Source organism: Homo sapiens, chromosome 6, assembly GCF_000001405.40.
Source record: "Homo sapiens chromosome 6, GRCh38.p14 Primary Assembly".
NCBI lineage: Eukaryota > Metazoa > Chordata > Mammalia > Primates > Hominidae > Homo > Homo sapiens.
Window position 1 is genome coordinate 136,874,195 of NC_000006.12, and position 27,919 is coordinate 136,902,113.

General features: G+C 37.5%; 1 protein-coding gene and 1 pseudogene across 4 annotated transcripts in view; one reads left to right on the forward strand and one right to left on the reverse strand.

The window, feature by feature from the left end:
• PEX7 (peroxisomal biogenesis factor 7) overlaps positions 1-27,919 on the forward strand; it is a 91,343-nt gene that overhangs the window by 51,603 nt on the left and 11,821 nt on the right. For all 4 annotated transcript variants that reach the window (NM_000288.4, XM_006715502.3, XM_047418874.1 and 1 more), the window contains one exon: positions 23,948-24,047. In NM_000288.4, coding sequence (NP_000279.1) covers positions 23,948-24,047 — 100 coding nt within the window. Of the gene's footprint in view, positions 1-23,947; positions 24,048-27,919 lie in introns of those variants that run through there.
• On the reverse strand, positions 26,126-26,986 carry RPL7AP37 (ribosomal protein L7a pseudogene 37; annotated as a pseudogene).

Sequence of the window (27,919 nt, forward strand, 5' to 3'; positions counted from 1 at the left end):
GGTCTTTGAATCCTTTGTAGGATTGCTCTGCAAAACTAGTGGAGCATGGTGCTTTTTGTGGAGTACTTTCTTGATAACTTCATTTCTTTCATGGAAGTGAGTCTGTTTAAACTTTGTATCTCTAACGGGATCAAGTTTGGAAATTGTCCCTTGCTTTTAGGTTTTCAAATTTATTCGTAGAGGTGTCTGTAAAGTGGGTGGACACAGTGGCTCATGCCTGTATTCCCAGCACTTTGGGAGGCCAAGGTGGGCAGATCACCTGAGGTTAAGGGTTCAAGACCAGCCTGGCCAACATGGTGAAACCCTGTCTCTACTAAAAATAGAAAAATTAGCCACGCATGATGGCAGGTGCCTGTAATCCCAGCTACTTGGGAGGCTGAGGTGGAATTGCTTGAACCCAGAAGGCAGAGATTGCAGTGAGCTAAAATCATACCACTGCACTCCAGCCTGGGTGACAGAGTGAGACTTTGCCTCAAAAAAAAAAAAAAAAAAAAGTCTATAAAGGAATGTTGTAGGATTTCTTCTCTTTCATTGGTTGTTTTACTCTTGTTATTTCTGATTTTGTATCTTTAATAAGTTCTTTGAATATCTAGTGGTATGTTTATTTTGTTATTTTTCTTCAGCAGGCAGAATTTTAATTTATCAATTAGAACTACTTTTTTCAGCTGGGTGCAGTAGCTCATGCGTGTAATCCCAGCACTTTGGGAGGCTGAGGCGGGTGGATCACCTGAGGTCAGGAGTTCAAGACCAGCCTGACCAACATGGTGAAACCCCGTCTCTACTAAAAATACAAAATTAGCTGGGCGTGGTGGCACATGCCTGTAATCCCTGCTACTGGGGAGGCTGAGGCAGGAGAATTGCTTGAACCCAGGTGGCAGAAGTTGCAGTGAGCCGAGATCGTGCCATTGCACTCCAGCCTGGGCAACAAGAGCAAAACTCTGTCTCAAAAAAGAAAAAAAAAGAACTTTTTTTTTTTATTAATCACTGCTTTTATTTTTATTATTTCCTTTTTGGTACTTTCTTTTTGTTGTTCTTTTTTTCAGCTTCTTGAGATAGGAATTTATTTTTATTCTTTCATTTTGTTAAAGTATTTAAGGCTATAAATTTTTTTCTGGTTATTATTCAAACTATAGCCCATAGATTCTGATATATAATGTTTTCATTATCATTTTAAAACATTTGTAAGTTCTGTTTATACTTGCCTTTTCTTCCAAGAGGTGTATAATAGGAAATTATTTAGTTTCCATATGAAAATGCCTTTTAACTTAAAAAAATTTGTTAATAATTTCTACTTTTATTGCATTAAAATCAGAGAATACTATTTTAGTCATTCTGTTCTATGGAACATATTGAAATTTGGGGGAAGTGGAACCTAATAAATGATCAGTTTTTGTGAATGTTTCATTTGCAGTTCAGAAGAATGTACAGTCTCCATTTTCAGGCTGTAAAGTTCAGTATATAATCATAAGCTTACAAATTGATTATGTTGTTTAGGCCTTCTGTATCCCTTCTTATTATTGGTCCACTTAGTCTGAGAATGGTATGTTACTGAGAGTGGTATGTTAAAATCTCCTATCATTAGCAGGCTTCTATATCTCCCTGCATCTTTTGTAGTTTTGATTTTATAGAAACAGATGCTGTGTTTCTGGTATGTAGATATTATGGTGAATTGAGACTTTTAGCATTAAAGAATATCCTTCTTTGTCACAGTTAATGCTTTTTGTTTCAGTTATGCCTTGTCTCATATCAGAATCATTGCCCTCGCTTTCATACTGTGTTTACTTTCCAGATATGCTTTTCCCCATACCTTTTTTTTTGTTTTATCATATTTTCAATTCTTTCATTAAATTTTTTTTTTTTTGAGACAGAGTCTGGCTCTGTCGCCCAGGCTGGAGTGCAGTGGCACAATCTCGGCTCACTGCAAGCTCCGCCTCCTGGGTTCACACCATTCTCCTGCCTCAGCCTCCCGAGTAGCTGGGACTACAGGCACCCGTCACTATGCTAGGCTAATTTTTTGTATTTTTAGTAGAGATGGGGTTTCACCGTGTTAGCCAGGATGGTCTTGATCTCCTGACCTCGTGATCCACCCGCCTCAGCCTCCCAAAGTGCTGGGATTACAGGCGTGAGCCACTGCGCCCGGCCGATTAAATTTTTTTTATTATACTTTAAGTTCTGGGATGCATGTGCAGAACGTGCAGGTTTGTTAACATAGGTATATACGTGCTATGGTGGTTTGGTGCACCCATCAGCCAGTCATCTACATTAGGTATTTCTCCTAATGCTATCCCTCCTCTAGTCCCCCACCCCCCAAAAGGCCCCAATGTGTGGTGTTCACCTCCCTGTGTCCATGTGATCTCGTTGTTCAACTCCCACTTATGAGTGAGAACACGCGGTGTTCGGTTTTCTGTTCCTGTGTTAGTTTGCTGAGAATGATGTTTCCAGCTTCATCCCTGCCCCTGCAAAGGACATGAACTCATCATTTTTTATGGCTGTATAGTGTTCCATGGTGTATATGTGCCACATTTTCTTTATCCAGCCTATCATTGATGGGCATTTGGGTTGGTTCCAAGTCTTTGCTATTGTGAACAGTGCTGCAATAAACATATGTGTGCATGTGTCTTTATTGTAGAATGATTTATAATCCTTTGGGTATATACCCAGTAATGGGATTGCTGGGTCAAATGGTGTTTCTGATTCTAGATCCTTGAGGAATCACCACACTGTCTTCCACAATGGTTGAACTAATTTACACTCCCACCAACAGTGTAAAAGCCTTCGTATTTCTCCATATCCTCTCTAGCATCTGTTATTTCTTGACTTTTTAATGATCACCATTCTAACTGTTGTGAGGTGGTATCTCATTGTGGTTTTGATTTGCATTTCTCTAATGACTGGTGATGATGAGCTTTTTTTCATATGTTTGTTGGCCACATTAATATCTTCTTTTGAGAAGTGACTGTTCATATCCTTCACCCACTTTTTGATGGGGTTGTTTTTTTTTTGTTGATTCTGGATATTAGCCCCTTGTGAGATGGATAGATTGCAAAAATTTTCTCCCATTCTGTAGGCTGCCTGTTCACTCTGATGATAGTTTGTTTTGCTGTACAGAAGCTCTTTAGTTTAATTAGATCCCATTTGTTAATTTTGGCTTTTGTTGCCATTGCTTTTGGTGCTTTAGTCATGAAGTCTTTGCCCATGCCTATGTCCTGAATGGTATTGCCTAGGTTTTCTTCTAGGGTTTTTATGGTTTTGGGTTTACATTTAAGTCTTTAATCCATCTTGAGTTAATTTTTGTATAAGGTGTAAGGAAGGTGTCCAGTTTCAGTTTTCTGCATATGGCTAACCAGTTTTTCCAACACCATTTATTAAATAGGGAAACCTTCCCCCATTGCTTGTTTTTGTCAGGTTTGTCAAAGAGCAGATGGTTGTAGATGTGTGGCATTATTTCTGAGGCCTCCTTTCTCTTCCATTGGTCTATATATCTGTTTTGGTACCAGTACCATGCTGTTTTGATTGCTGTAGCCTTGTAGTATACTTTGAAGTCAGGTAGTGTGATGCCTCCAGCTTTGTAGGATTGTCTTGGCTTTATGGGCTCTTTTTCGGTTCCATATGAAATTTAAAGTAGTTTTTTTCTAATTCTGTTAAGAAAGTCAATGGTAGCTTGATGGGGATAGCATTGAATCTATAAATTACTTTGGGTGGTATGGTCATTTTCACGATATTGATTCTTCCTATCCATGAGCATGGATTGTTTTTCCATTTGTTTGTGTCCTCTCTGATTTCCTTGAGCAGTGGTTTGTAGTTCTCCTTGAAGAGGTCCTTCACATCCCTTGTAAGTTGGATTCCTAGGTATTTTATTCCCTTTGTAGCATTTGTGAATGGGAGTTCACTCATGATTTGGCTCTGTGTTTGTCTATTATTGGTGCATAGGAATGCTTGTGATTTTTGCACATTGATTTTGTATCCTGAGACTTTGCTGAAGTTGCTTATCAGCTTAAGGAGATTCTGGGCTGAGACGATGGGGCTTTCTAAGTATACAATCATGTCATCTGCAAACACAGACGATTTGACTTCCTCTCTTCCTATTTGAAATCCCTTTATTCCTTTCTTTTGCCTGATTGCCCTGGCCAGAACTTCCAATACTATGTTGAATAGGAGAGGTGAGAGAGGGCATCCTTGTCTTGTGCCGGTTTTCAAAGGGAATGGTTCCAGCTCTTGCCCATTCAGTATGATAGTGGCTGTGGGTTTGTCATAAGTAGCTCTTATTATTTTGAGATACTCTCCTTCAATACCTAGTTTATTGAGAGTTTTTAGCATGAAGGGTGTTGAATTTTGTCGAAAGCCTTTTGTGCATCAAAAATCATGGGGTTTTTGTCATTGGTTCTGTTTATGTGATGGGTTATGTTTATTGATTTGTGTATTTTGAACCCCCATACCTTTATTTTTAAACAGTTTTGTTGAACCATTTTGTTCTAGGTATGTTTTTGTATAGAGTATATATTAGGATCTCGCTTAGTGAACAAATAGTCTTTTTATTAGAATATGTAAGTTTAACTCTTTCATATTTCTTGATAAAAATGTTTAGCATCGAATGTGTCATATTTTATGTTATGATTATTATTTGTATTTTATTTGCTATGTTTCTGTGTGTGATGTGCTTTTTTGTTGTGTTTTTTTCTTTGACAAATTTTTTTTGACATTTAGGTAAGTTTTTATATGTTTTAGTGGTTGCCTTTGGTGTTACAACTTTTTAAATGCCTTCATAAGTTTTCTGAAAAAAATTAACCGTTTATTGCCTGGTTGTGAGTTTTTCATTATATTTTTGTGAAATCCCACCTATTTCTTATATAATAACCAGTGAACTTGTTCTACTTTCGCTTTTTTTTCCCTTTTCCATCAAATTTTGTTTCATTTATGCTTTGTTAGAACATGCAACATGTAACATATAGCACATATCATATGATATATTTTTACTTAGTTTCTACCTTTGTTTTAGTCTTAAGTGTATAATTAAATATATTAAGTGCTCATTATCAGTTTTTTATTCCTAAGTTTCCCTCATTATCTGATGCAGTTTATCTTCAGGAAATGCCATAGATTTCTCAAGAGGGACTGATGGGCATAGAATTCTCATGAACTCTCATATGTTTAAAACTATTTTTCTGTAGCTTTCCTACTTGGAGGATAGTTTAGCTGAATATAAACTCCTTGATTTACATTTCTTTCTTTGAGGTTTTTGAAAATGCTACTATGTTTTTATCTTGCTTTCTATGTCGTTTTTGAGAATTCTGATGCCAGTCTAACTCTCTTTTACTTGTAAGTTGTTTGGCACCACCCCGACCCCAACCATCAATCCTTTCCCTCCTCCTCGAGACCCTGGGGAAAAAGAACCCTTGTTGCATTTCAGTTTTTCTTGCTGCAGGCTCAGTGAGCTCTTTAAGTATATAGATTTGGGTCTTCTTTTATTCCTAGAAAGTTTTTTGAATTACAATTTTAAATAATAGTTCTACTTAATTGTTTTATTTTCTGTGGAACTCCCATTATGTATAAAAGGACTCTCCTTTACCTGTCTTCTCTCTCAGGTACTTTCTGTCTGATACTTTTTCCTTCTATATTTCTTTATCTCATTTTCATTCTTTTGGTTGTTTTCCTGTTGTCCTCAATGCCCTTATTATGTTTTTGTGTGAATCTGCTCTTCTTGGGCCCCAATGTAATTCTGTGTTTATTTGTGAAATGATTTTGCCTTTTTTCTTGTGTTTCTTCAGTTCAGTCAGGTCTGTTTCAGTTCTTCTGTTTTTGTCCACTTCTTTTCTTTGTTTTTGAGTTCCTGATCAAGGGTTTTGTTGGTTTTTTTTCTTCCATGTCCCTAAATGCTTGCTTGAAGATAATTTGATTCAGTTTAGAATATGTTACGGTTTTCTACTTCACTATTTTTTTTTTTGAGGGAAGCTTTTGTCAGATGAATTGTTGGAATTCTTGTAACCATTTATTTGTGTATGTGTGTGTTTTTAAAAATAAATAAAGACTTTTTTGTCTCTTTATATCTGTGGACAGGGTTGATGGTTTGAGGTTGGCACCTTTCCTTCCTTTTAATTTTCTTTCACCCCTAAACTATCAACTTTCTAAGATCACCTCCCTGTATCCAGTGTACTTTAAAATCTGTAATCTAATCTTTATTATGCCTTTTTCCAGTATTTTCACTCATAGGATGCACTTTCTCTTTCTCATGATGGTTTTAGGTCAGCGTTAGACCTAGTCCTAGCTCCTGCCCTCTCTGTACCATTCAGTGTTCCCCACACTGTCCTTGCCATTCACACAGGCTTGCAGCTGGAACAAGGAAGAGAGCTCATAGGGATTCTGTTTTGATTTTTCTTCTTACAGTTAATTTGAAGTTTGGATGTGTGGAAGACCTGAGGTTTGTGTAGTTTTATTTGTTCTCTTTGTTGTTCTGTATTGGTTTTTGTAAGAATACAGTAACAGTTTTGGATTTACATGGCCTCATTGCCTAGACTCTCCTCTCTCCTCACTTCTGAGTCCGTATTAGATATGGCCCAGTCTATATAGCTTTGTTTGTATAAAATGTACTTCTAATAGAATAAATTACAACAATGCTTTGAGATGTATTTCATGCCTTAACTTGGTTTTCTTGATTCATTCAATACAAGCGGGCAGACAGCTGGGAAGAATAATCACATGGAGGCTCCCAGCTCTCAAAAGTGTACTTTAACCAGGCTTTTGTTTGTTTTTTAGTATTCCATATAAAATAATAAGTAGTGATTATAAAGTTTTCAGCCTGGGAACTAACGAATGGCAACACAACAGAAAGGAAGAAACTGGAACTGTGGAGCTAGATCACTGGCTGGAGGTTAAGGCTGTGCATGTAGATTTGGACACCATTTACTCACTGATAATTCAGTCCATAAGAATGAATAAGCCAAAGGGAGATAAGTGTAGAGAAAGAACAAAAATTCCCTCCTTCAGGAGGGAGTTCATGTTGGAAAGCAGGAAGGAGCAGCCCACCAGGAACAGGAGGAAACCTTAGAGCATGCAATAGTCACAGAAGCTGTGGGAGGAGGGGCTTTCAACAAGGTGTGAATGGCCAGTAATGTCAGATCCACCAGATAGGTTAAGCAGTATGAAGAGAGAACTTGGAATCTTCTCTTTTTGTCGCTCATGGATTCAAAAAGATATCCACATATAGGATCTAGTTCTTGGAATTCGAACACCTTTCTGGCATTTGAAGCAAGAAGGCATAAACTGAGATGAGACATTAATCTTTTGGTGATCTCATATTTGGTATTCTTAACAGTTTTAATTGGGACATCTTAAATCCATTTCAGTGCTTTGTTTCTGATTAAAGAGAAAAATCTAATGACTACTGAGACTTTCTTCTCAGAATTGTCATTTTGATCTTAATCCTAGTGACTGACCACTCCCTGTTTTATGTATTTAAGTACCCCTAAACACCCTGTGGGAAAATGCCTTGTTCTCAGGAATGTTTGTTAAGACTGGATGTCAACTACATTTCTGAAAATCTTGGGAGTATCAAACCATGCTCAGAATCATCATAGTTTTTGGCTTTCAGTCTTACTTTTCTCTCCACTGTTAAATGCTGAGTCCTGAGCAAGGACAGGGAGCGGGGGATAGATATTTAGTGCCCCTGGGGAGGGAGGTGGCTTAGGTCATGGTCCTGAGACCAGATCAAAGGTGTTGTAGCTATATTTGTAAGCACTTGGAAAAATTGAGATTTATAGTTCAATAATAGGAGATCTTTAACGTAAGTTAAACAGAAAGTTAAGAAGATATTTGAAATCAATGATCGTGTATAACTTAGAGTCCAGGTTTCTTTTATTAATGTGTAATATGGCAACTAGTGATATCTGTGCTCACAAGCTCACAGGGTGATTACAAGAAATATATGAGAAGACGTTCTTGAAAATACTATGATAATTCTTAATTGCTTTTCCCCCTCTTCTTCTTCTTTTTTTTTTTTTTTTTTTTTTGAGACAGTCTTGCTCTGTCACCCAGGCTGCAGTGCAGTTGTGTGATCTTGGCTCATTGTAACCTCCACCTCCAGGGTTCAAGCGATTCTCCCACCTTAGCCTCCTGACTATCTGGGACTACAGGCACACATCACCACACCCAGCTAATCTTTGTATGTTTAGTAGAGACAGGGTTTTACCATGTTGGCCAGGCTGGTCTCGAACTCCTGACCTCAAGTGATCTGCCCACCACAGCCTCCCAAAGTGCTGGGATTATAGGCGTGAGCCCCCGCACCTGGCCCTTTGCCTCTCTTCTAAAGCCATCTTTCCAACCCTATTCCCTGCACATTCAGCAAAAGATCTTACCTTTAAAATAATAATAATAATAATAATTGTGGGACTCAAGCACAAATTATCTTAATTTCTAAGCTGGGCCTGCAGATTTTCTCTAAATCTGTACCTCTTCATTCCTCCTGTTATTTAGATCCCTTAGACATGTGTGCTGTTGATCCCTCGTACTTGTTTTCTTCAGGACTTTACGCCGTGAAGTGACCTGTTCTCCCCCTATATCTCTCTATATCTTTAGTCTCCAACTCTTTAGTGACTTTTTCCTCAGCCTGTAACATTTTCCTTCATCCTGCATTTGCCTTTAACTCCTCTCTTACATCTCTCTTTTTTACTTAGCCAAGCTTTTAGTGTCCGCATAAGCTTCCATTCACCAGGGCCATTTTAAGGTCTTCACTGTCCCAGCGTACTCTGTGTTGGAGGTCTTACCCTGGATCACTAGAACCTATAAAATGGATCTACATCACTGATTAAATAGGGTTAATTATTTTGAAAAGATTTGTGGCTTTTGCTTTTGAAGTGATTTGGATTGAGTAAGTCACTTATGATTGATTATGACTTCTTGGCAATCATTATGCTTGCTAAGGAATTCATGTGAAGTAAAAAAGAAACATCCCTAACCTAGAAATTGTTTCCGAGTGGAATGAAATGTTTCTGAGTGCCAGGTTTATCAATTAGTAATGTTAATTTATTAATTTTAAATTTAATTATTTTAAGTTTAATTTAAATGTTCAGGTCTCAGGCATTTTTGTAGACCTTTGAAAGCTTATAGGCATAGGCACTTAAGGTTCTTCCTAATGGCACAACTAGCTTCAGTCCCTCCTTCTTTACTGAAATTGCTCTGGCAAAAGCCACTAGCGACCTCTGTAAAACCAAATCCAGTCCACTTGTCAGCATTTGTCATGCTGAACCTTTTTCTGTTTTACACCGTCGATCATACCTTCCCTTCTGGAAACTCCTTATCCTAAGGATTCCATGTTCTTTTTTGTTTATTTGTTTTTCTTACTCTCCTCTGACCCTTCCTTCTTAGGGTTCATCATAGAATCAGTCTCCTTCTCTTCCCCTTAAACTTGGTCGTCTCCCTTTGGTTTAGAACTTTTTTTACATGCCCGTTCTAAATGATAATTTCCAGCCCCTGTGTCAGGTCTGGCCTTTCTTGAGAGCCTTAGGCCTGCATATTCAGCTGTTTCTGGACACAGGCACCTGAGTGTCCAAACAGGAATCTCACACTGAACTCCTTCTTTGCTTGTTTATCTGTGTTATTTATCTCAGTTAATGGGAAACTTATCCCTATTCAAACAAGCCAAAAACCTGGAATTCTCCTTTTTCTTGAAAAATTGGTAAACATTTTCCCAGTACGAAGTGGAGCATTGCTTCACAGGCAGTATATAGAAGCAACATCATTTTTTTTAGAAATATAATTTTAATTTTAACATTCGTTGTAGCTACTAAATTACTGTTTCACCTCCATGCTAAATGTAACTGGAGGCTAGTGATTGCATATTCCAATATAGGATTATCGAAGACTTTCTTGTAACAAGGAAAATAAATAGAAAAGGAAGCCAAAATCATTTGAAAACCCTTCACTTTTGACTATATTACATGTATATATATTTGTAATTCTCAACACATGTCGAGAATAAGACTTTAATCGTTCTAATGCCTGTGTGAGTCTAGTCTCATTATTTGAATGTGGTGACCACTGATTGGAAAGGTCAGAAAAGGTGCATTTTTGGTGGATTTTTACTCCATGTGATATGAGTTAAATTTATCCTCTGAAGAATTTTAAATCTGATTGGATTGATGATATTTTTAGTGTCAGAAAACCATTTTAACAAGAAGAAAAAGATTTCAGATATAAGACCAACAGTAACCTGTTTAATTTTTAGGACTGATAACTATACAGATACTACCTTTAGATTCTCTGGATGGCTAATATTTGCAACACAAGCTTTTTAAATATAAGTTTTTAATTTGTTGCCCATTGTTATATTTAGGTTTGTAAATTTTTCAAATTTAATTTTAAAATTGTTTATATGGTGGGTGTTATATCAAAACTGATGATATGGTGGATATTTTAGAAAATGTAAGTTTCATATTTCTATTTGAAATTCATGTTGCTATTTACCAAATATAATAGAAGCTTTAAGACCTTTACCTCTGTAGTAGCTCATTACATTTCACAGAATAACTAATGAAGATCTAAGAAGTGATATATAACATAGCATTGGAAATTGTTTAGTATGGTTTATGTTAAATAAAAACTTCAACTTTTATGAAGAATATCAGAACTCCCTTCAGCTGGTGGACAATATAGTCTATCAAAATACATCTTGATTCTTTCTAAACTTCACTCAAGATAATACTAAAGTTAAAATGTTTCATAGTAGATTATTTCTATTCTTCCATGAATGTTATCATCGTAGATTTTAGCATATTATCTTTTTCCTATATACTGTCCCTTAAGTTAGTTAACTTCTCTTCCTGCCAAGCCACATTTGTTGTGCCAACCGTGCATAAGCATTATTTGAGTTGTAAATGCTTGTTTTTGGTTTCATACCAAGTAGATCATTTCATAAACAGAAAAGCAAACCAGGTATGTATGACAACCAAACAAAAGTAAAAGCTGTTATAATTCATAGTTTTTTTCATTAGGAAGAGCAGCATTCCGTGTCTTCCACATTGTAGCAAATTCTCAGATATCTGAAGATTTTAATTGATAAAGCTAAAATGACCAGTTTAGCCTCAGAGTAACACTCCAGTTTCATGATACTTTTATAAATATTATAACCTTTAAAACTTTTTTATCAGTGGTCTTAATGGCCTTTGATAATAATAAGCCAGACCAAGCACTTAATTTTTTTAGACATATGGATTTGGGGGCAAGAAAAATATAAAGTGAATTTTAATTTCAGTGTTGTCAAACTGTATTCAGCCACAGTTTGCGTGATGTGAGTCTCTCTCTGCCTATGTCAGCAACATTAATGTTTCCAACTCAACTGTTAAGCTACTTTTTGGTGACAAAATTGTACAACTGTACTCTACTTTAAAATTCAGGCATATTTACAGAATGTCTGTTATCTGCCAGCCATTGTAATAGACAGTTTGAAATGTCTTTTTGAGGAAATGATAAAAATGAAGGCTTGGAGACAAGTAGTAACACACCTAGGAGAACCCTAAGCCTGTCAGTTTTGTTGGTATCGTGGGACATATGTAGTCACAAATGTAAATAGGGAGTACTGGAAGATATATATTCAATAGAGTAATTATGGGTTGGCACATTCCCAGGTAACATAGTAGGACCACAGACTTTGGAGCCAGACTGCCTTCTACTAGCTGTATAAACTTGAGCAAGTTATTTTAAAACTTGATGGCTCAGTTTCCCCATCCCTGTAAATGGAGATGCTAATAGTACCCACCACATGGGATTGTTGTGATGGTTAGAAGAGCTAATATACACAAATACTGGTACATAGTAAGTACTATGTAAGTGTTTGCTACTTTTGTCATTATTAAGGCTAGAATGGATGGTGACAGAAGGCTGTCTCCTTGGGCTTGAGGCCATTTCAGCGCTCTAGTCTTCAAGAGTGAGGTAATTTTATTTTACAGCAGTAAGAGCAAGCAGCCCCATCTAGCCTTTTGTTGCCCTCTGCTCCTTGGAGGTGAAAGAGAAGTACGAATTGGGGATAGGAAGTTATCTAGAATCAGCTCTGTCCTTCCACATCCCTGTTCTTTGGAGATATTTAGAAACGTTCTATAGATTAGACATCTATTATGTAGTGGGGTGAGCATGTAGACCTTTGAGTGAGTCATACTTGAAGTGAAAAGCTGACTCCTCTATTTACTAGTTGTGAAATATGGGAAATGATACTGTGATCTACCTTGCTGGGATGTTCAGAGGATTAAATGAAGTAGTATCTGTAAATACTCTGGCACATAATAAGAGCTCAAAAAACTAGCAGATGTTTTAAATGAGAATACTAGTAGTAATAATGTTTCCCATTTTAAAATGTAAGTACTTTAGGGAGAGCTAGATATTAATCATTCATGCCTTACCTAGCATTACGTTAATAACATAATTATATTGCTTACAGCCACTGAGGAGCTTTGTGAATAGGAATTTTCATTGCACTGTGAAGGTGAAGTAGGAGAGTGAACCTAGTGAATATGGTGCAGCATGAACCAGGACAGTGGTCACCATACAAAGTTGAATATGTCTGGGCATTTGATTCAAATCTGTTACCAGAGGGGCTGGGCACAGTGGCTTATGCTTGTATTCCTAGCACTTTGGGAGGCCAAGGCGGGAAAATTTCTTGAGCCCAGGAATTCGAGACCAGCCTGGACAACATGGTGAGACCGCACCTCTACAAAATTAAAACATTAGCCAGGTATGGTGGCACATACCTGTGATCTCAGCTGCTTGGGTGCTGAGGCAGGAGGATCACTTGAGCCCAGGAGATGGAAGCTGCAGTGAGCCATGTTTGCAACATTGTACTGCCTGGGCAACAGAGTGAGACCCTGTCTTGAAAAAAACAAACAAAAAAAACCTGTTACCAGGTGACCACTTCTATTTCATTTCAACCTATTTAGAAATTTTCCCCTAAATTATTATGTATTACCTACACACATTTGTTGAAAAAATTATTTCATAAGGAGGCAGCATGATGTAATAGAAAAAGAGATACAGCTTAAAATCCTGAATTTGCCATTACTAGCTATATTATAATTTAATTGTATATTACTTAATATATAATTAATGTAATTTAGTTACATTTAATCTCTCATAAAGTGACTTAACCTCCCTGAGCCTTTGTTTCCTCAGTCATAAGATGTACTGCTACGAGATTTAAATATCAATATATGCAAGGCTGTTCCCACAGAGCCTGGCCCATATCTGGCACTCAGAATTTTATTTTTTATTCCCATATATATTCTTCAGACTTTGTACTTGTTGTCATGTCACTGTAAATATGTTCTTATATTTCTGATCAAAGTTGCTGAAAACCAGCAAAATGACAAAGACAAATTATGATGTCTGCAGTTTATTTTTAAATGGTTCAGCAAAAATATTCCTTCATATGCGTATGTGTAGAGAGAGAAAGATAAAACAAATGTGGCAAAATTTTAGCAGTTGGTAAACTAGACAAAGGACATACGGGTGTTCATTTTATTCTTTGAGGTTTATTGTGGGTTGGTAATTTTCAAAATAAAAACATTTGAGAAAAAAGCAAACTGTATTTACTCATGCAAAATAAGACCCTAAAATACCTTCTAGTTAATGTTATTATTTAATGATATTAGTTTAATTGTAGAATAAGATAACTAGCTTTATTATATTGTGTTAAGTGGGAAAATGATCTTTAATTGGATTGTAGTAAACTTAAAATCTTAAAGCAGAGGATGCAGAAATACCTTTTATCTTTGTCACAGATACTCTCATGGGATTTGCCCTTATCTAGTAAGTGTCTTAACTTTGGTGTGGCTGATGGGCTTTTTTGATCCTTATGTTTATTAGCACAGAGATTTCCACAGGCAGATACTTCTCTTTCTTCCCCTTCCCCTTAAAAAAAGGTCAGCCAAAGTAAACAGATAGTATAGTTGAATATGTACTCTGCCTCACAAACCTTTCATTTCAACTTTGCCTAGTCCCCGTTACCAACAAAAAAAGGTCAGTCAGAGTAAACAGATAAGAAATGTGGCTGAATATGAGCTGCCACACAGCTTCAAATGATCATTTTACCTCATCTTTTAAGATAGTTGTTTTTAATTCCTCTACTTTTGTTCATCAAACCATAAGAAATCATGTGGCTAATGATATGATACTGATTGTTAACATTTGCAGGAACTACAGTTAAATTCTTAGGATGATCAGAGATTTTCAAAATGTTCTGTGCCTTCAGATATCTTAGCTAGAAATGTCTTTGTAACCCTATCACCGTTTTTTGCTTTGTGAGATGGGTTCACCACACCTCACCAATAACTTTAGAAAAGCATCTTAATGTAGTCATCTTTGGTTTCCTTTTAAGAACGGGAATATTTGCATTCCCCGATTTGTGTAATCCTTGCAAGGATATTTTAGTACTGAATTTATTCTGTGTTAATAAAGCACATTGCCTGATGACAGGGTAGGACTTGTCTGTTTTATTGTTTTGTCCCTGGCTCCTGGGATGTGGATATGCTAAGTACATGTTTATAAATATAAGTGAATTTGAATTAAATGAAAAATTGTGATACCCTTTGGTCACTCTGACTGTAGAAGCTCAAACATTTGTATTTTAATGTGGTTTCCACTTTAAATATTTCTGAAGCAGTCATTAATAAAACAATTTAAAGTAGAAAGTCCTGTTGGGATGAGAAATCTTTTCCAAGGAGAAGACTTGCTGTTCAGTTGTGGTTAAGTCAGCACTGACTGACTAATAGAATGTTACTATTTAGCACATTTGGGACCATCGCGTTTGTTAACTAAAGTGACAGATAAACATTTTTATTTTTTTCTACAAATCAAGTGTAATATGCAATATACTGACACATCTCTAAGCTTCATATATCTTTGGGTTAAGATACATATTTATATGTATGAAGCAATAACTCCCAAGTTTGTTGATATGTTCATTTTTTAATATGTCCCGAAAGAGTTTTTCCATTTGACTTGTTTAAATTAGAAAATTCTTGTGTTAATTACTGTCATACTGGAAAGATCTTTTCATGAAGTGAAGTATACTTTTGTAAGTTAAGTACCAGATGAAAATGAAAATAATTTCCTATAAAATGAAACAACATATATTAATTGGAAAGAAACTTGTAAGACTTTTGATTTTAAATAGCTTGCTTTATAACTGCAGAGCTTTTTCAGAATTATTTGTTACTAACATTTTTCTTTAAGAATGAAACCAGATCCGTGTCTAATTCATAACTGAATGCAAGCACATGAATAAATAGATAAATCTAAAAGGAACAAGGAATGTTAAGCCTTAGCTTAATGCAGTATAAGTCATTGCTTTGAACTTTGAATTGTGCTGATTAGTTCCAACAGAACATTTATGGACTTTCTAAATTAATTTGCATCATACTTTTTAAAAAATCCTATTGTGTGGTTTCAATAAGGCAACTGAGTAGATTTTGTTGCATGTATTTGTATTTTTTAAATGTAGATACTGCTTTTTCTCATTTTTCGTAGTAGGAAGTCAAAAGATAATATCTGAAAATGACAAAATAAATGAGCTCCATGAGCATATTCTTTAGAAATATAGAGTAAAACATTAGAAGAAGCAACTAAAAGAATTTAGAGTGATTGCCTCTGAGGTGAAAGATTGAGGAAGTACGGCAGGAAGCTGCTGTTTTCTGTTACAAACCTTGTAGAATTAGTTGACTCTAATGTGTGCAATTATAGTTTTTAAGAAAAAGATAATTGAGCAGAAAAACCTGTCTTTCCCTCTCTCCGTTATTTGCACACATAGTAAGCCTATTTACTTAGACCAACTGGGTACTGCCAGTCAGCTGGTAGTAGTTTACACAGTTCCCAGAGAGCATAAGGATGAATAATACACCCTTTGAGGTCTGTCCTGAAACCCTAGTCAAGAGTGTGGCAACACTAAATATTCTAAAATGGAATTCTTAGACATTGGACTTAATGGAATGAACCACGTGGAGATTTAAAAAACCGTAATTATTCATCTATTTTCATCCTAAATAAAATTCAGCAGAGTCCCTTATCTTTCTCCAGTATATTATTTACAGTATGTGTGTCTGTGCACACATGTGTAAAACAGAAACCATCCTTAGATAGCTTAAATATAAACAGGGAAATATTTCTCAGACTATGGGGTCCCCCAGAGCCCAAAGGCAGAAGCACGGTGTGCAGTGTGGCCTATGGAAGGCATTGAAACTGTACAGCCGACTTTGTCATTCCTCCTCCTCCTGCAGGCTGATTTTTTTTTCTTTTTTTACCTCAAGCTTTCATGTCCAGTTACAAGAAAAGGAACAGAATTATTTGGTCTGCTCTGTCTCTGTTTTTTTCTCTCTTTGTCGGTGTCTGTCTTCTCCCCCTCCTCACCCCCATCACCGTGTCCACCCTCTGCTGAGGAGAGAGTTGTTAAATAAAGGAGATCCTTGTAAGCAGTGCAGACATTCCACTACATGACAGCCTGAGTAGGTTTATTCATAAATGCTTAGCTGCAGAGATGAGGACATTAAGTATTTCATGGTAATGTCACTAATAAATGACCAAAGCATAGGCAGCTGCTGTAAGCTTAATGATTGTCAACATTTAGGTGTGGGGTGAAGTTCTAAAGCAACCCCATGTGGTCACATTATCCACTGGTGAAATGCTCTTTTGCTCTAGGTGGGTGCATTTTGGTGCTACCAGTTACGCTTCAGATGTACACAGACTATTCTTATCCTTAAGATAGTGATACTATTTCATGAGTAGAGTTCTTCCAGTTTTACTTCTTTTTTAGTCAAGCATTTATTTGAAGCTGTATTGCAAAAATTATTTCATGATTCTTTGATTTGTACCAGTAAGCAATACACAAACCGCATAGGAGTTTTGCCTCTTTTCCTTTATCTCCTCTTATTGAGATGTGGCATTCTTCAGAAAGTCATCCAGCATCCCTGTGGATCTCTGCCATAAATACTCTCAGAGCAGGCCTTCCATCAGCCTGATGATTTTCTTTAATTTGTCAGAGTACTCTAGGCTTTGTGGTATGTGGTTCCCGGGCTTAATGTTTACTGTGATGAAGTAAAGTCTGCTTCTCTAAAATACTGATCTGATTAGAGTTTTCGATGAAATATTGTGATGGACTCATTTTGAGAAGGAAGCTTAAGTCTAGAATTTTATCATATGTAACCTTCAAAGTTTGTAATTGTGGAGTTTCTGGGTATTAGTGATTGAGCATTCCAAGAGACACCTTTGAAAATTGTTCAGTAGTTTTTCACAATTGATCATGTATTCTTCATTTAGCAGGTAGTTAGGGTTTTTTTCTGTTTTAAACTTTATTTTTATTGTTATTAATACAAGTTCCAAAACCAAAAAACAGTTTTTAATCCAGTCATGCAAATAAATGAATGTTACCATCAGTAAATATTTTTGAGTGAATGAATAGTTTAACTCTATAAAATTGTTCAACAGCCCTTTTTTTTTTTTTTTGAGACAGAGTCTCACTCTGTTGCTCAGGCTCACTGCAGATCACGGTTCACTGCAGCCTCTACCTCCTGGGCTCAAGCGATCCTCCTGCCTCAGCCTCCCAAGTAGCTGGGACTGTAGACATCCACCACCATCCATGCCTGGCTAATTTTTGTATTTTTGGTAGAGACAGGGTTTCATCACGTTGCCCAGGCTGGGCTTGAACTCCTGGCCTTAAGTGATCCACCCGCCTTGCCCTTGCAAAGTGCTACCGGGCCCGACCACTTCTATTTTTTAATCCCTTCCAAAAATGTTACAGATCGTAAAGTAATAGGCCCATGAGTCCATGTGTTCTATAGGGGGTTCATTGCAAAAGGATGGAAATCTGAGTGATTATAGAAAGAGAGTTGAGTGATACATAAGTTAGAAAGAGACAGCAGAGTAGACTAGAGGATGCAATAAGTGCATATAAAAAATATTAAAAGAGAGAAAAGAAAATTCCCAAAGTCCTTGCCATGGTAGTTCAGATGTATTCTGGCTCATAATTTCCTTAGGATTTTTATTGTAAGTGGCTGACTAATGGACTCTTGGCATGGGCTTTGGCTTATGAAATTCTTTCTGTAGTTTGAAGAGTTTAGGGGATACCTGACTTGGTCCATGCCTATTTGAACTTTCAGGGTGTTAATCAAAACTGCCTGAAGAATTGCAGATCCTGCCCACCTATATTTAAAATTTTCTGGCATGACCTAGGCCTAGAGAAAAAAATGTATGGTGCCATCTTTTTTAGTAGAAAAAGTACTAGACATGATGTCAGGAGAGTCTGTGTTTTGGGGCTGCCATTTATTAGCTCTATAACCATGGATTGCTTAATTTCTTGGATCATATTGTCTTCACCTTTGAAATGAGGATTATACCCATTGTATATTTATTTGCTCATTCATTCATTCATTCATTCATGAGTGCCCATAAATTCTTTGGTTGACCATGTGGCAGACACTTTTATACATGCAAAAGATACAAAGAATAGGACACTGTCCCTGAATTCAAGGAGCTTATTGCCTATTAAAGGAGGATAGATTTGTATTAAGAAATAAATAAATGCATGGAAATATTATGAGTACTATGAATGAAACAAGAAACATGAGAATCTTTTTTGATGTCTTCTGTTTCATTAATCACCAGGTTGTATTAATTCTTCTGCCTAAATAAATCTCCAATCCATCAACTTTTCTTCATCATCACAGTCAGTACCTTAAGTCCAAGCTGCTATTACCTCTTTTTGGACCACTGATCTTCCCATACCCACTCAAGCCCTCAAGTCCATTCTTCTCACTGTGGCCAGAGACACCTTTGAAGGCAAAGCTGATCATAGACCGATGTTAACAGTAGGGGAACCTGGCTGTTGAGGTGTATGGGACCCCTCTTCACTATCTTCACAAGTTATCTGTAAATTTAGAACTTTTCTAAATGAAAAATGTTTATTAAAATGTTTTAAAATAAGGCAAACTGACCACACAAATTTAAGTTGCTGCTTAAAATCCTTCAGTGGCTTTTTTTTTCTTTTTTTAAAGAGAAAATCCCAAATTCTTCAAATGACCTACAAGACCTGTTTGACCTGGCCCTGCTTACGTCCTGGAACATTCTTCCCTTTCCCTGCGCCAGCCTCATGGGCCCTCTGGTCACACACTGTCAGGCTCCTTGCAGACAAGCAATAAGCTGCTCTTCTGCTGTCTCCCTGGCTAACTCCTCAACCTTCAGATCTGCAGCTCAGATGTCACTTCCTCAGGACGTCCTCTTAAGTCATCCTGCATTGTCTTTTGGGGCACTTGTCAATTGTCATTACGTTTGTGTTTTGGTGATTTTTAAAAACATGTCAGTTGATCCCACTGAACTATGAGCCGCACAGGAGGGCTGAGGCCATGTCTGTCTTGCATATGGTGCTTAGCACCTACCTGGCACATGGAAGGACTCATCAGTTGTTGAATGAATAACTAAATGATGTGAAAGTAAGTGTTGTGACATTTTTGCTCCTTGCTCTAAAGACTACTGTGCCCAAGCACTGCAAATGGAGAGGAGTATATAGTGAAATTTGCTTAAAATGATAAAAACACAACAAAAATTAATATACATGTAAGACATTGAAAAATAGCCAGAACATTGTCCCTTTCTCATAGTAAGGAAAGACTTACAAGTAATTCATGACTAACTCATAAGTTGAGTACAGAAAAGGAAAAGAAAGAACTTTAAAAAAATATTTTAAACCTTCTGCTGAATTCACCTGTTGGCTAAATTTCAAAAGTGTTAGTATAGAGATTTCAAATTACATTTAGTTAAAGTAGAAAGTAAGTAATTTCAGCTTAATTGTTGAAATGATTTTGACGTTGTATTTAATACAGACTATGATGAGCCAGGCATAGTGGTACCCACCTGTAGTCCCAGCTATTTGGGAGGGTGGAGTGGGGAGATTGCTTGAGGCCAGGAGTTTGAGGCTGCAGTGCCCTATGATTTAGCTGTCTCCAAAAAAAGTAATAATAGGCCAGGAACGGTGTCTCATGCCTGTAATCCCAGCACTTTGGGAGGCCAAGGTGGGCAGATCACAAGGTCAGGAGTTCGAGACCAGCCTGACCAACATGGTGAAACCCCGTCTCTACTAAAAATACAAAAATTAGCAGGGGATGGTGGCACGTGCCTGTAATCCCAGCACTTTGGGAGGCCGAGGCGGGCAGATCACGAGGTCAGGAGTTCAAGACCAGCCTGACCAACATGGTGAAATCCCATCTCTACTAAAAATACAAAAATTAGCTGAGCGTAGTGGCGTGCGCCTGTAATTCCAGCTACTCAGGAGGCTGAGGCAGGAGAATTGCTTGAACCCGGGAGGCAGAGGTTGCAGTGAGCCGAGATCGCGCCACTGCACTCCAGCCTGGGCGACAGAGTGAGACTCCATCTCAAAAAAAATAAAAGTAATAATAAAATGTTTAAAGAAGAGAGATGTGATACAGTGCTGTATACTTGCATTGTTAAAGAATTGTGGAACCAAAAAGCAAAAAATAACTCAACCAAGACATTATATTATGATATACAATTTAAATAAAAAATGTTCCTAGAGTTCTGTAATATTTTTAATCATTGGAGGCTTATCCAGTATATTTACTTCCCATGAGGGAGATTAAATAGTCAGTGATTTCATCAGCAAAGAGACAAAAAGGCACCAAGTAGTATATATGCTGGATCAAAACAAACATTTCACTTAAGAATAATGTGCCTTATTTGACCACTTAATGATATATGATAGTATGACTTCTTGCAGCAAAAAGGAGCTCATTTTACTTACGCGATAGATGCATGAAGGCCCTTGGATATATAGCACTTATGGGATGTTTGAATCCAGAAGAAGGTTGCAAGGAGAGACCATGCCCACTCCCTTAACTGCAAACTTGAGAAAACTTGGAGAAACACCCACTTTCTCCCTGTTAGCCCCTCCTTTCAACTCACTCTTTCTGGCTGGAACTTCAATAGAGATACATAGAAAAACTCTGGAAGTATACTCATTAAACTGTTAACAATGGTTGCTAATTAGAGAGTGAGAATGGGGAAAGAAATACATGTATTTCTTTTGTTATTAAAAAGCCATTAGCAATTAAATAATAAATTATAGTATATTGACATACCGTTTAGCATTTGGTTTTCTCAACTTAGTTTGTATAATTTACTGTATTTAACAATATTTTTGATATTTCACTACTGAATATTATTTTTAAATTATGCATATTAATATTGATTGAAAAAATTTTCCTGACTCCTGATCCCCTTGAGGTGAAGAAATCTGAAGCTTAGGTTGTCTCTGTTTAGTAAATCCTCTCAAGGCAAAAGCTGGCTTCATTTTTCCATTTACTGCTCTGGGTTTCAGTCTTGTGTTGGTTTTTACTATAGTGTTCCTCACTAATGCTTTAATGAAGTTTTAAGGTTGGTTATTTGTTTTTATGTTTCGTCCAGGGTTTTTAGTTGTTTTTAAAATGTTGGTCTAGAAACCAGGTCAGCCATTCTGTTGGAAATGAACCTCTCTTAGATTAGGCACCATAATGTATACACTTGGTATGTTACATAATTTCTACCAGAGCTGTGAAATGGTATAATGAAGTGTCTTTATGCCATTCAGTAGACTAACCCTCCCTTCACCAAAGAGTTTCAGCATGTATTTTCTTTGATGAACTCTTTGCAAGATGCAGATAAATACTGGATAGTTTTTCCCAGGTTAAAATTATGTCTGTGATTCTGTGGTGTAGAACTCTGTGAGGCTTTGACTACCCATTAGCTGTATATTAGAGCAAATTCAGGTGGACTTTTTGAATAGAATCACAGTTCTCCTGAATGTGTGACTTCCCTCATCACACTTTCAGGCTGAAGTTGGATAGCTGCACACATGTGTCTTTGTGAGACATCTTAATTTTCATAAGGCCCACCTTATCTTATCTCAGTGCAGCTTTGTCCTAAGCTGGCTCAAAACAACAGAAGCTGCATTCCAGGAATTTATCAGGAGAGTATAAATAAATTCTCGTTGTTTTGTATTATCCTTACGTTCTAAAAGAAACCAGTTTTTATGGTTTACATAAAGAATATTTAGCGTATCCATTCTGCTGAAATAAAATCTAAATTTCAAATGAAGTCAGAGAGCTAAATACCCGGATTACATCAAATTGACTTTCCCTTAGACCCATTCTTTTAAACTGCCCTTTAGGGTGATGCCATTCACTCATAAGCAGCAGCTGACAAAGCATCTGTATGTTTCCTCACAGATGTTGAGGATGTTCTTATTACATAAACATTGGGTTTCTTGTCACTGAACTCCCAAGGGAGAATTTCCTTCTGAGCTTTCCAGGAGCAGTTTGGTTGTGGACACCATGCATTTGGGTCTTGATTGTCTCCCTTTTTCCTTTGGCTGCTAGAAAGCTTAGCATCTTGAGGTCCTTCCCTGTCAAGGACATAGAACTTCATGGAATGTACCAATCTCATTGCAGATGCCATCTTACTTTCCTACCCTTAATTTTCCTTTAACTCATTTTTTGCCATATTAAATGCTTATTTTAAAATCATTTTGAGTATTTTTTGGAACATAGTAGCCACATGCAGAATCATTTGATTATTATTTCAGATAATGCAAATCAGTGAATAACCATGTTTTAGAAATGAAATTACAAAATTATATGTTTACTTTTGCTTCTCTCAACATTATCGGGACCCAGAAAATTAGATTTTGATATAATTCACTGTCTCTAGAATTCAAAGAAACAAATATGCAAAGACAGTGGAGACCACTATTAGGATTTCTGAGAATGCATACAGCTTGTTCCCTCATTTGGTTGAACAGGCAAATTTTCAAAAGTAAAATCACTCTTCCCAAATATTTTGTAGATTTTGGTAATCTGATAAATGAGCTATTTACTCATTGTTTCTTTGGTACCCACACAGTGGATTATCCATAGCGACAACCCTTTTCAAAACTTAATAGGGCCAACTCTGTATTTATTAGGGAAATAATACCACCAGGTTAAACAAACTGTGGCTCTTGGTTCTGTGTATTTACTCTCTTTCAAAGGGATCTGTTAAACCTTCAGTGTGCCATGTTGTAGATCATTAGAGAAGCTGAATTAGGATATGACTCTGTGATCCTGAATGTGCCTGCCATTTTTATAGTATGTTTAGAATCAAATAAAAAAGATGATGAGCAAATAAAGCATTAGAAATAAAGTACCATGTTATGTATTGAAAACAGGGCCAAATTCTTGTCTGCACAGTACAAATGAGAGCTTGATTATGGTAAATATTACCACTTTCAGTCTATGGAGGTTAAGTAGAATACATAATATTGGCTCAGGAAAATACATTTCTGTTTTTCTTGATTCTAGGAATTATATTGATGTGGAATCTGTAAGAAAGGCTGTGCCTCAAAAAAGAAGAAAGATAGTTTCAGAATTACAGAGATTTTCATAAGAGAACAGATTTTTTTCAAAGAATTCTAATTGCTGTTGAAATTTAAATTAAGCCTAAGATCTTTCATGTCAATTGTTGAGAAATGAAGTCATATTTAAAATCACAAAATGTTAGAGTTCATTTAATTCAATATCCTTATTTTATAGCCATGAATGCTTTTAGAAATTGCTACAAAAGCATACTATCATCTCAATGTCCTTGTGCAATATAAAAACATTTTTTAAATTAAAACTTGTTAAGCTTCTGTCCTAAAAGGTATACTAATGGGAGTAGAATAATCTTTTATAGGGTAGATTGATGTAGGGTTTTTTTTTTATATATATAATAGGATGGAGTACTTTTTTTTCTTATTGGATTTTTTACGTAGGGCTTAATAGTGGGGTTCTGTATTTATGAATTGGCTGAGCCTGTTTGGATAAAATCTTTGCTATGTCAAATATCTATTTTTTCTTAATATAAGTTTTTTGGTAGTTTTAGCATTTAAATTATTCCCTTTTATTTATCTTCACAGATTCTGGAACTTTTCAAAGCCTGACTCTCTTCTTGAAACAGTGGAGCATCATACAGAGTTTACTTGTGGTTTAGACTTCAGTCTTCAGAGCCCCACTCAGGTAACGGATACAATCTCATGATATTCTCTTCTGCCCAAGTTCACAGCCAACTCTGTGTGGCATGCATTGCTTTTATGAATAAAATTGTTGCCATTTTAGCTATATAAGCTGGAGCGTTTGAGCATTAAACTACTAGGGAATAAGAGGTATCAAGAAAGTTGACATACCTTTCTCCTCTTGAAAGACTGATTTCCCTGAGAGAAAAAGGAACCTTCCCAGGAGGTATTATCCTAACATTTTAAAGGCTTTCTCTAGGCCTCTCCCAACAGAAAAGTGACAAGAGAAAGATGGAATATGGCAGGATTGTCGCCACGGGTTGGCAGGAGTCAGGAGCATGTGGTCCTGACTCAGCTGTCCCATTAGGCAGTTGAGACCATGGGCAGGCAGGTCACTACCCTTTCAAGACTGTCACCCTTGTCTTCACACCACGTGTCGAATGGGAGGCTTCTGATGGAGAACAAGTAAAATAGAATGTCTGCTATTTAAGTTAATAAACAATATATGTCTCCCTTTTTGTTCTCTTGAGGACTTGAGAGTAGACACTTTGGACTTTAAATATCCCTCAGGTTTTTTTTTTTAAAAAAGCCTTTTCATTTTAGAAATTGTAAAGTCAATCAGAAACACTACAATATGTTGAGTGATAAGGCCCTTTAAATACAGAGTGTGTGAAAGAACCAGCATATCAATGAAACACAAAATAATATGTGGAAATTGTAGAGCATGACTGTGAAATTGTGCTTTTATGATAACTCTCATAAGTTAAGCAAAAAGAAAATCCCACTTCACATTAATGTGTTCTGAAATTTAAATAAATATGTAAGTGTTTTTTTTTTCTTTTCTTTTTTTTTTTTTTTTTTGAGACAGAGTTTCACACTGTCACCCAGGCTGGAGTGCAGTGGTGCAATCTTGGCTCACTGCAACCTCCACCTCCCAGGTTCACACAATTCTCCCACCTCAGCCTCCTAAGTATCTGGGATTACAGGCATGCAACACCACACCCAATTAATTTTTTTTTTTTTTGACAGAGTTTTTGCTCTGTTGCCCAGGCTGGAGTGCAGTGGCGCAATCTTGGCTCACTGCAACCTTCGCCTCCCGGATTCAAGTGATTCTCCTGCCTCAGCCTCCTGAGTAGCTGGGATTACAGGCACATGCCACCATGCCTGGCTTATTTTTTGTATTTTTAGTAGAGATGGGGTTTCGCCATGTTGACTAGGCTGGTCTCAAACTGCTAACCTCAAGTGATCCACCTGCTTTGGCCTCCCAAAGTGCTGGGATTACAGACATGAACCACCGTGCCTGGCCTAATCTTTATATTTTTAGTAGAGATGGGGTTTCACCATGTTAGCCAGGCTGGTCTCGAACTCCTGACCTCAAGTGATCCACCCTCCTCGGCCTCCCAAAGTGCTGGGATTACAGGCATGAGCTCTCAGCCTATGAGTTTTTCATTTTAGGAATTAAAGATGTAATTCTGAGTTTAAACGATTCTCATTTGGTATTAGAATGTTCCCATTAACATTAGAAATAATCATTTAAAATGACTTAATAGGATATAAGAGAAAAAACTGAAATAGTGATGAGTGAAATGGCATTTTTTCAGCATAAATATAATGTGTTTCAAATGAACTAGTTCCTTTTCTGATACATTTATTATAGATGGATTTTAATAAAATAATTGTACCTGTTTTCTATTTTAGTCTTAAAAAGTTACAGTGTACATACTGAAATATGGCACCCCAAACAAAGGATCCTAAGTAAATATTCATTCAATCCTCATCCTTATATATTTCTATTACCTGTCCTCTGTGAGCCCAGACTAGAACCTGTGGCAGCAGCTGCAGCGCCTCCATTTCCTCAGCTATGGCGCTTCCTCGCCCAGGTCTGAAGAATACCAGATGTTTTCTAAATCCTCCACACATAGTAGGCCTACCTTATTAAAAGCAACTTTGTGATGAGAGGACTTAATCAGAGGACATACATCCCTAAGTAATAGATTTTATTCAAATTAAGATGGTGATCTCAACCAGTATTTTAAACACAAACATTTGAGTTGTGTATATTATTAATTTATATATTTTTCAAAGGATAATTTGTATTATTTTAATTATTTTTATGTACAGAAAACTCAACCGTGTACATTTAATCCAGTTTAGTGGCAGGTTCTTTAGCCTTTGCCTTTTCCAGCTTGGCAGTGTGAGCCACAGACTTGGGACCAAGGACATTGCCCCCCCAGTGACAGCAGATCTCATCGTGTCTGTCATTGTAATTGGTCCTGATAGCTTCCACCATCTTAGCCAAAGCCCTTTTGTCTTCCGAGTTAATCTGTGTGAAGGTGATGGTGGTGTGGGTCATCCTGTGAACCAGTCTTGCCTTTCCCTTGACAGCGCAGTCAGGGACCCCCATTTTATGAGACAGGGCAGGCAGGAAGACAACCAGCTTGATGGGATCCACGTCATGTGCAGTCACCGCCAGCTGAGCCTTCTTCTTCTCCACCAAGGTGGTGACGGTGTTAACCCCAGCTTGAAGGACAGGTGGTCTCTTAGTGGGGACATCCCCTTTGCCAACAGCTTTCTTCTCAGCCTGGGCCAAGTCTCTGCCTCTTCTCTTGCTTTGTCTCTGGTCTGTATTATGGGCCAGCTTATGTAGTTGAGTAGCTGTTTGGTGGTCCCAGGGCCTGGGTGAACTGGTTCATCACAGGAGGCACTTTTAGGCTCTTGTAGAGGATAACTCTTTGCTGCTGCAGCCTGACATAGTGGGGCCATTTCACAAAGTGGGTGAGGTCCCTTTTGGGCTGGATGTCCTGTCCAGTGCCAGAATTCTTAGGCCTTTACTCAACAGGGGATTCACCACTTTCTTGGCCTGTTGCTTCAAGATAGCAGGGGCTGGGGCCCCGTCTTGCCCTTGGTCTTCTTTCGGCATCTTGGGCAGCTATAGGAGAGAGATAATTTGTATATTTACAAGTCACATCAAACTCTTTTCTAGGGGAGATATGAATCAAGTTCTACATGTATCTCCATGTTTTTCCCTCTCACTTTTGTCAGTTATCTATTACTGTGTAATGAACAACTTCCAGGACTTAGTGGCGTAAAACAACAATTTTATTTGCTCACAATTCTGTGAGTCAGCAATTTGGACCAGACACACCCTAGCAGTTCTTCTTTTGGTCTTTCCTGTGGCCACCCATGTGGTTCCAGCCATCTGGTGGCTTAACTAGGGCCGGGTGGTCCTATTAGGCCTCGTTCAATGTGTCTGGTGGATAGTGCTGGTTGTCTTCCAGGCCGTGTGTCTCTAGGTATGCCCAGGTCTCTGCACTTAACAGTTGTGTGTTTACAAGAGGGCAAGAGCAAAAGCTGCAAGTCATCTTGAGAATTGGACTTGGAAGCCACACAGCATTCCTTCTGTTGCAAAGCAAGTTGCAAGGCCAGCCCAGATTCAAAGAGTGGGAAATAGACTGTACCGTTTGATGGGAGGACCTGTGAAGAATTCATAGTCACTTAAAATCTGCCACACTAACCTGTGTTGGTATAGTAGGTGGTTTAAGTTTTATTTTTGTTTGTTTGTTTTGAGATGGAATGTTGCTCTTGTTGCCCAGGCTGGAGTGCAATGGCGTGATCTCGGCTCACTGCAGCCTCCGTCTTCTGGGTTCAAGCAATTCTCCTGCCTCAGCCTCCTGAGTAGCTGGGATTACAGGCATGTGCCACCACGCCCAGCTAATTTTGTATTTTTAGTAGAGATGGGGTTTCTCTATGTTGGCCAGGCTGGTCGCAAACTCCCGACCTCAGGTGATCCGCCCACCTCAGCCTCCCAAAGTGCTGAGATTACAGGCGTGAGCCACTGCGCCCAGCCAAGTTATTTTTAACATACTATATTTATCC